This window comes from Homo sapiens, chromosome 7, assembly GCF_000001405.40.
Source record: "Homo sapiens chromosome 7, GRCh38.p14 Primary Assembly".
In the NCBI taxonomy this organism is placed as follows: domain Eukaryota; kingdom Metazoa; phylum Chordata; class Mammalia; order Primates; family Hominidae; genus Homo; species Homo sapiens.
In genome coordinates this window covers 100910750-100920843 of record NC_000007.14, presented here as the reverse complement: position 1 = coordinate 100920843, position 10094 = coordinate 100910750, and the positions used below count along the sequence as shown (strand labels likewise).

General features: G+C 46.4%; 1 annotated feature.

Moving 5' to 3' along the window:
- Positions 3951-4060: an enhancer, noted in NCBI's record as "active region_26394". NCBI's record gives its function as "activates an Ori minimal core promoter by ATAC-STARR-seq in GM12878 lymphoblastoid cells {active_cell/tissue: GM12878}" and the evidence as "EXISTENCE:reporter gene assay evidence [ECO:0000049][PMID:35858748]".

Genomic DNA, 10094 nt, shown 5'->3' with positions numbered 1-10094 from the left:
AGCCCGTTATCTCTCTGGCAGTGTATTTTCCTACTTTGTCTAATAAATTTGGCTTCCTTTACTTACAACTGTCTTCACAAATTCTTTTACCCCACACCACCAGCTGTCGTTTTCCCATGACACCCCTAACATACAAGCTTTGGACAAGATGATTTGAATGCTAACTCCATCTCCCATGTGGCATGGCGAGCCTTGTGTCTATTAAACTCTTTCTCTACTACAATGCCATGGTGTTTCTTTACGCAGCAGGCAAGAAGAACCTCTCAGGTGGTTACACATCCTCCTGCTCTCCTTTCCAAGCTAGCTGCTGCTGAAGAAGAACTAGAGGCAAAGCTGAGTGCCCTGGTGGAGGGGAGGACAGCTGCTTGCACTCAGAAGCCTGCACAGATACAGAGAGGTCAGCCACCATGGGAGTAGGGATGAGAAATTCTGTCCTGCCAAAACCCCCACCAACCCAAAGACAAAAGGAAAAGTTTGGCTGCCACGAGGAAGGACAGATATGCTGAGAAATTCCATCCCCAAGACCCAGGAGCAAAAAACTTGCCTGAGACAGAGACTAGCCCTGAAGAAATGGAATACCATGCCTCTGTCAGAGGCAGGTGAACCAGAGCAACTCCATCTTGAATAGGAACTGGGTAAAATGAGGCTGAGACCTACTGGGTGCATTCTCAGATGGTTAAGGCATTCTAAGTCACAGGATGAAATAGAAGGTCGGCACAAGATACAGGTCATAAAGACCTTGCTGATGAAACAGGTTTTGTAGCAGGACAAGCCGCAGACACAACCCCTCAGACACTGAGTTAAAGAAGAAAGGGCTTTATTCAGCCAGGAGCTTCAGCAAGACTCACGTCTCCAACAACCGAGCTCTCTGAGTCAGCAATTCCTGTCCCTTTTAAGAGCTCACAATTCTAAGCGGGTCTGCATGAGAGGGTCGTGATTGATTGAGCAAGCAGAGGGTACGTGACTGGGGGCTGCATGCACCGGTAATTAGAATGGAACAGGACAGGGATTTTCACAGTGCTTTTCTATACAATAGCTGTAATCTATAGATAACATAACCAATTAGGTCAGGGGTCAATCTTTAACAACCAGGCCCAGTGTGTGGCACTGGGCTGTCTTTTAGAAATGAAATGTGGATTTCATTTCTGCCTTTTAGTTTTTACTTCTTCTTTCTTTGGAGGCAGAAATTGGGCATAAGACAATATGAAGGGTGGTCTCCTCCCTTAGTTTCAGTAAAGAAGCCGGCCAAAACCCACCAAAACCAAGATGGTGAAGAGAGTGACCTCTGGTCGTCCTCACTGCTACACTCCCACCAGCGCCATGACAGTTTACAAATGCCATGGCAACGTCAGGAAATTACGCTATATGGTCTAAAAAGAGGAGGCATGAATAATCCACCCCTTGTTTAGCATGTCATCAAGAAACAACCATAAAAATGGTCAACCAGCCACCCTCAGGGCTGCTTTGTCTATGGAAAGGCCATTATTTTATTTCTTTATTTTCCTAATAAACTTGCTTTCACTTTACGGACTCACCCTGAATTCTTATGCAAAATCCAAGAACCCTCTCTTGAAGGGTCTGGATTGGGACTCCTTTCCTGTAACACCTCTACCATGAGCCTCACACCAAGTAACCCACAAGAACAGTCCCAAGCTGTTGGCAGGGTGAGGAAAGCAAGAACATGGGAAGAGATCTTGCTTTGAAAGCCCCCAACTAAATGGGGGTTTCCGTAGCAGAGCAGCTAGTAACCCTGCTTTAATGGGAAATGAAGGACATGGTGTTTGCAGTGTCCCTTTCATGGGTTGCTTCTTTTGTTAGCAGCAGCGAATCCACACGGGTCTGCAGCAATTCAATTCTTGCCTCCTCGAAGGAAATAATTCCTCTGAGGGGCATAAGGCAGAGTGAGAGACTGAGGCAAGTTTTTGAGCAGGAGTCAGAGTTTATTAAAAAGTTTTAGAACAGGAACGAGGCCGGGCACGGGACAGCTCATGCCTATAATCCCAGCACTTTGGGAGGCTGAGATGGGCGGATTGCTTGAGGCCAGGAGTTCAAGACCAGCCTGGCCAACATGGCGAAACCCCGTCTCTACTAAAAATACGAAAATTTGCCAGGCGTGGTGTCGGGCGCCTGTAATCTTAGCTACTGGGGAGGCTAAGGCAGGAGAATCACTTGAACCCAGGAGGCAGAGGTTGCAGTGAGCTGAGATCACACCACTGCACTCCAGCCTGGATGACACAGCAAGACTCTGTCTCAAAAATAATTAATTAATATAAATTTTTAAAAAAAGTTTTAGAGGAAAGAAAGGAAGTAAAGTACACTTGGAAGAGGGCCAAGCAGGCAACTTGAGAGATTCAAGTGCACTGTTGAGCCCCTGACTTGGGGTTTTATACATTGGCATGGTTCCGGGGGTTGCGTCTCTTCTCCCTTGATTTTCCCTTGGGGTGGGAACAGTATATTTACTGAAGTTGTGCACATGCTCGTTTGAGGCGTTCTTCCCCTACCAGCTGAGGGTTCCTGGGAAGACATAGATCTGTTGGCCAAGTGCAGTGGCTCACGCCTGTAATCCCAACACTTTGGGAGGCCAAGGCAGGAGGATTGCTTGAGGTCAGGAGTTCAAGACCAGCCTGGCTAACATGGTGAAACCCCCCTCTACTAAAAATATAAAAACTAGCTGGGGCCGGGCGCGGTGGCTCGCACCTGTAATCCCAACACTTGGGAGGCTGAGGCAGGCAGATCATGAGGTCAAGAGATCAAGACCATCCTGGCCAACATGGTGAAACTCCGTCTCTACTAAAAATAAAAAAAAAAAATTAGCTGGGCGTTGTGGTGTGTACCTGTAATCCCAGCTACTTGGGAGGCTGAGGCAGGAGAATCCCTTGAACCTGGGAGTTGGAGATTGCAGTGAGCCGAGATCACTCCACTGCACTCCAGCCTGGGCGACAGAGCAAGACTCCATCAAAAACAAAACAAAAAAGAAATACCACTTAAACTCTGCCATGTTGCCTCTTAGTGCACATGCTTGAGCCCACTCACCCAACTCCTGAGATCTTATCAGGAAGCTGCTTATCACCAGCCTCAGGTGTTTTCTGTCTATTGGGAAACCACCTTTCCCTGGCGCCAGCTACAACCAATTATTATTTCAGAAAGACAGTTTAACAACCACTTGACCACCACCTATTTGTCACTTGACATTACTGGGGAAGGGAATGGGGCATCCTCTCCTACCCTCCTCATGTCTGCCTAGATACCTACTCTAACATAACCAGCCACGGCAGGCCCAAGCTACTGGGGAGCGGGGCGAGCAAGAACATGGAAAGACACCCTGCTTTGAGAGCTACATGAGGGTCTCAGTAGCAGAGCGGCTAGCAAACCTGCTTTAAGGAGAAATGAAGGGAAGCTGGGTGTAGTGTTCACAGCGGGCTTTTCACAGGATACTTATTTACCTAATGGATGGCCTAATGCTTAGGGATCCCTAAAGGTCCCTTACTTGGGAAACTTGCTTATACTGGCAGACACCTCGTGGCTTTTGTGTGACCCACCACGTCCAGTTTATGCCTGCTGGATGGTCTCTCTGGCTCTGGGAGCCCAATCTTATGTTCCCCCAGGCGCCCCAGGGAAAACCCAGCCTCAGATTTCCCCTAGTTCTTCAGATGGAAGTTGAAAATTCAGGAAAGCACTTTTACCGGAAACAGGTCCTAATTCAGTCCGCAAGAGAGGGTTCTTGGATCTTGTGCAAGAAAGAATTTGGAAGGGCCAGGCGCAGTGGCTCACGCCTGTAATCCCAGCACATTGGGAGGCTGAGGCGGGCGGATCACGAGGTCAGGAGATCGAGACCATCCTGGCTAACACGGTGAAACCCCGTCTCTACTAAATACAAAAAATTAGCCGGGCGTGGTGACAGGCATGCCTGTAGACCCAGCTACTCGGGAGGCTGAGGCAGGAGAATGGCATGAACCCAGGAGGCGGAGCTTGCAGTGAGCTGAGATCATGCCACTGCACTCCAGCCTGGGTGACAGAGCGAGACTCCGTCAAAAAATAAAAAAAATAAAAAAATAAAAAAATTGGAGTGAGTCCACAGAGTGAAGTGAAAGCAAGTTTATTACAGAAGTGAAAAAACGTGAGAATGGCTGCTTCATAGACAGAGCAGCCCCGATGGCTGCTGGTTGGCCATTTTTGTTTCGTTTTGTTTTTTATTGTTTGTTCTTCTTTTTTTATTAGTTTGTTTGTTTTGTTGGTTGGCTATTTTCTAATGGTTATTTATTGATCGTATGCTAAAGAAGGGGTGGATTATTCATGAGTTTTCCAGAAGAGGGGTAGGAATTTCCCAGAACTGAGAATTCCTCCCCCTTTTAGACCATATAGGGTAACTTCTGGGCATTGCTATGGCATTTGCAAACAGTCACAGCACTGGTGGGAGTGCCATTTAGCAAGCTAATGTATTATAATTAGCATATTATGAGCAGTGAGGACAGCCAGAGGTCACTCTTGTTGCCATCTTGGTTTTGGCGAGTTTTGGCCGGCTTTTGTTGAGACGGAGTTGCTCTTTCGCCCAGGCTGGAGTGCAATGGCACAATCTCAGCTCACTGCAGCCTCCACCTCCCGGGTTCAAGTGATTCTCCTGCCTCAGCCTCCTGAGTAGCTGGGATTACAGGGGCCCGCCACCACGCCCGGCTAATTTTTTGTACTTTTAGTAGAGATAGGGTTTCACTATGTTGGCCAGGCTGGTCTCGAACTCCTGATCTTGTGATTCGCCCGCCTCAGCCTCCCAAAGTGCTGGGATTACAGATGTGAGCCAAAGCACGTGGCCATGGCTGGCATTTTTTTTATTGCATCCTGTTTTATCAGGGTCTTTGTAACCTACATCCTATCTCATCCTGTGACTAAGAACGCCTAACCTCTTGGGATGCAGCCCAGCAGGTCTCAGCCCATTCTACCCAGTCCCTACTCAAGATGGGGTCGCTCTGGTTCAAATGCTTCTGACACCATCACAATAGGAAACAAGTTCAAAGATTTCTTTTTATTATTATTATTTTATAGAGATGGAGTCTCACCGGCCGGGTGCAGTGGCTCACGCCTGTAATCCCAGCACTTTGGGAGGCCGAGGCGGGCGGATCACGAGGTCAGGAGATCGAGACCATTCTGGCCAACACAGTGAAACCCCGTCTCTACTGAAAATACAAAAAAATTAGCCAGGTGTGGTGGCGGGCGCCTGTGGTCCCAGCTACTCGGGAGGCTGAGGCAGGAGAATGGTGTGAACCCAGGAGGTGGAGCTTGCAGTGAGCTGAGGTCGTGCCACTGCACGCCAGCCTGGGCGACAGAGTGAGACTCCATCTCAAAAAAAAAAAAAAAAAGAGATGGAGTCTCACCATGTTGCCCAGGCTGGTCTTGAACTCCAGGGCTCAAGTGATCCTCCTGCCTTGGCCTCCCAAAGTGCTGGGATTAAAGAAATGAGCCACTGTGCCTGGCCCCAGAGATTTTTTACAGACAATAAATAAGGGCCTCCTAGGCAGGAAGGGCACCATGAGTCAGGAGGGCACCATGAGTTGGGAAAACACCATGAGTCAGGAGGGCACCATGAGTTAGGAGAACAGTCCTCCATCCCCAGGTCAAGTAGAGAAAGAGAGAATAGGAGTAGAGTCGAGTGGAGAGAGCATGTGGCAACTAGCAGTACATATATAGAGAGGGGAATACAGTGCCAGTCACTTGAAGTTCAAGGGCAGATGTCTAAATGCTCCACTTAAAGAAAGTGGTGGGGGCTGGGCGCGGTGGTTCATGCCCATAATCCCAGCAATTTGGGAGGCCAAGAGGCCGAGACGGGTGGATCACTTGAAGAGAAGAGTTTGAGACTTGAGGTCAGGAGTTCGAGGCCTGGGCAACAGGGCAAGACTCTCTCAAAGAAAGAAAGAAAGAAAGAACCTCGTGGAGGTAGAGAGTTCGAGACCTGGCCAGCCTGGTGAAACCCCATCTCTACTAAAAATATAAAAATTAGCCAGGCCTGGTCACTTGCGCCCATAGTCCCAGCTACTCAGGAGACTGAGGCAGGAGAATCGCTTGAACCTGGGAGGCAGAGGTTGTAGTGAGCTGAGATCGCACCATTGCACCCCAGCCTGGGCAACAGAGCGAGACTCGATCTCAAAATAAATAAATAAATAAATAAATAAATAAATAAATAAATAAAAATAAAGGAAGTGGCGGGAATGCAGGGAGCCCAGCCTGCTGGGTGAGAGAGGCGCCTTTAAGTTCATATTCTGGCTACCAGCTTGGCCCATGTGGATGTGGTGATCTACTTCTAAAGTCTAGCCAGCAACCTTTGGTCTGTTGTTCCTAATACCACTGACCTAGGCGTGAGACCTTGTGCATATTCCAACGGGTACCGTTCGAATGGTGTGGATATTAAAGGCTATCAGAGAAGTCTGGGCTACGTGCCATGCTGAGTAAGGCCTTGGATGAGCGTAAACAGTTGAAGCATATGAAGGCACCCAGTTGACCTGAAATCCCATGCACAGCCACCCACTCCACCGCCTAGGGTGGCGCCAAGGGAACAGATCAACTCTGGACCTAGAGCAGAGTGTAATGATGCTGTCACACACTGGCATGGCTTCCAGATTGGCTTGCACATGGCCAGAGTTTCTTTTAGGGATGGATGTGAGCAGAGAGCAAGCAGCGTACTAAGATCATAGCCTATGCAGGCAGGGAGTTCAGAAAGAAAAGTAAAAATGTCCTATGTCCATTTGTGTCTTAGGAGAGGTGAATCCATGGGCGTGACCTAGGTTTACCACCCAAGGAGTGAAGGTTTAGCGTAAGGGGTGAAGTCATCTCTAGTGTCAAGGCCCTGGGTTGGGGTGATGTCGTCTGAGATGATGGCATCTACAGCAGTGAGATTTTGGGGTGATGTTGTCTGGCATCTGGTATGTAGGATGGGGCTCCTTCTTTTTTTTTTTTTTTTTTTTGGAGGCAGGGTCTCCCTCTGTCACCCAGGCTGAAGTGCAGTGGCACTATCATGGTTCACTGTAGCCTCAACCTCCAGGGGTCAAGCAATCCTCCTGCCTCAGTCTCCAGAGTAGCTGGGACAACAGCCATTCGCCACCATGCCTGGCTAACTTTTTTTTTAATTTTTTTTGTAGAGGCAGGGGTCTCATTATGTTGCCCAGGCTGGTCTCAAACTCCTGGCCTAAAGCAATCCTCCCACCTTGGCCTCCCACAGTGCTGGTATTACAGGCGTGAGCCACCACGCCTGGCCTAGTGCATTTTTTGAAAGGTTAAAGTTAGAACCTACATTGTAGAGGCACAAAACCCAGTGTCCTTTTTTATATTTTTGTTATATGAATTTTGAATTTCCAGTTGAATCAAACTATGGAAAATATATTGTATACTAAATTTATCTGTTTATATTTATATTAAAATATTATATATGTATCATATGTATATTATATATGTATAATACATATAATGTATTACATATAATATACATATGTACATATAAGGTATACATATCTACATATATATTGTTACATATAATATACATATGTACATATAAGGTATACATATCTACATATATAATATATTGTATATAATATATACAATATATTTAACCATATATATTGTACCTCTAGGTACAAGGAGAAAATAAAAGGTGACTAGATAAATTATATATACATATATAATGTGTATAGAATATACATGTAGTATACCTATATGGTACATATAATAATATATAATGTATTATATATTAATATATATACACACATATGTGTACATATGTATATATTATACAGTAATATATGTATTATATCACATATATTATGTATGTATATTTTATATGTATATATAATTTAGTTAGTCACCTTTTATTTTCTCCCTGTACCTACAGGTTTGCTCATTAATCAATAAGTAATCTAGAGATAACATTATGTTTGCTAGACCTGGTGTTTGCTCAATACTTAAAGTTTAAAGTTCTCCTTTTTTTCTTGGACTTCTAACTTCCTGAAGCAGCAGTCTCTCTCTCTCTCTCTTTTTTTTTTTTTTTCTTGAGACAGAGTTTCACTCTTGCTGCCCAGCCTGGTGTGCAATGGCGATTACCTTCCACCACCATGCCCAGCTAATTTTTGTATTTTTAGTAGAGACGGGGTTTCACCATGTTGGTCAGGCTGGTCTCGAACTCCTGACCTCATGATCTGCCCACCTCAGCCTCCCAATGCTGGGATTACAGGCGTGAGCCACTGTGCCCGGCTTCTTTTTTTTCTTTTTTTTTCTTCCTTTACGTTTTGAGCCACCTGAAGCCTGAGTTCTTTGTCTCTGGCTGACAAGAGGGAAAGTGGGAAGAGGAAAGGCGCCCTGTGTCTCCAACCAGCAGCCTCTCTGGGGACGCCCCCCACCGCGAGATAATCAGTACCTTTTTTCCTTCTTTTTTTAAGTAAAATGTGTAGAACTACTTGTAATTCTAGGTGGCTAAAATATTTTTTTTCTTTCCTCCCTCTCTCTTTGGACGTTTACCTGACAAGCTCATGGTGGCACTGAGTAGCGTCTGTTGAGAGCAGCGAACAGTCTTTGTTCCCATGTCTTGGTCCTACTGATTATCTTTTTTTTTTTCCTTTTGGAAACAGTCTCGCTCTGTCGCCCAGGCTGGAGTGCAGTGGCACAATCTCAGCTCACTGCAACCTCCGCCTCCCGGGTTCAAGCAATTCTCCTGCCTCAGCCTCCCAAGTAGCTGGGATTACAGGCACCCACCACCACACCCAGCTAATTTTTTGTATTTTCAGTAGAGACCAGGGTTCACCATGTTGGCCAGGCTGGTCTCAAACTTCTGACCTCAGGTGATCCACCTGCCTCAGCCTCCCAAAGTGCTGGGATTACAGGCATGAGCCACCGTGCCCCGCCATCTCTTTTTTTTTTTTTTTTTTTTTTGAGACAGGGTCTCATTTTGTTACCCAGGTTGGAATGCAGTTGTGTGATCACATCTCACTGCAGCCTCAATCTTCCGGGTTCAAGCAATCCTCCTGTCTCAGCCTCCTGGGTAGCTGGGATTACAAGCATGCACCACCACACCCGGCTAATTTTTTTTATTTTTCTGTACAGAGTTTCACCATGTTGCCCAAACTGGTCTCACACTCCTGGGCTCAAGCAATCCTCCAGCCTCAGCTTCCCAGAGGGCTGGGATTACAGGCATGAGCTGCCTCGCCCAGCCTGATTATCTTGATCTAGGTATTTACTTAAGAGAAATGAACATGTATACACACACAAGTTTTGAGTGTACTAATTATAATAGCTAAAAATTAAGAAGGGAGGTTATCAGATAGTGAAGGGATAAATTTTGGTATATCCATACAATGGAATCCTCTTTGGCAATAAGAAGGAATGAAATATATGTGAACTGACTTGGAAGAATTGCAACAACATTAGGATAGTGAAAAAAGTCAAATAGTAGACAATATGACTATTCCATTTATATAAAATTCTAGAAGAGGCCAGCTGGGCGCGGGTGGGAGAGGTGCTTCTAAATTCTCACGCCAGTGAGACTCATGCCTGTAATCCCAGCACTTTGGGGACCGAGGGGGGCAGATCATTTGAGGTCAGGAGTTTGAGACCATCCTGGCCAACATGGTGAAACCCCATCTCTACTAAAAATACAAAAATTAGCCGGGCATGGTGCTGCACACCTGTAATCCCAGCTACTCGGGATGCTGAGGCAGGAGAATCACTTGACTCCCAGGAGGCGGAGGTTGCAGTGAGCCAACATCATGCCACTGCTCTCCAGCCTGGGCAACAGAGCAAGACTCTGTCTCAGAAAAAAAAAAAAAGGAAGAACCTCGTGGAGGTAGAGTAGACTGACAGTTATCAGAGTGTAGGGAGGGGGCAGTGAAGAGAGGTTGGTTGATAGCTACAAAAATACAATTAGATAGAAGAAATAGGCCGGGCACAGTGGCTCATGCCTGTAATCATAGCACTTTGGGAGGCCGAGGCGGGTGGATCACCTGAAGTCAGGAATTCAAGACCAGCCTGGCCCACATGGTGAAACCTCATCTCTACTAAAATTACAAAAATTAGCCGGGTGTGGTGGCATGTGCCTGTAATCCCAGCTATTCAGGAGGCTGAGG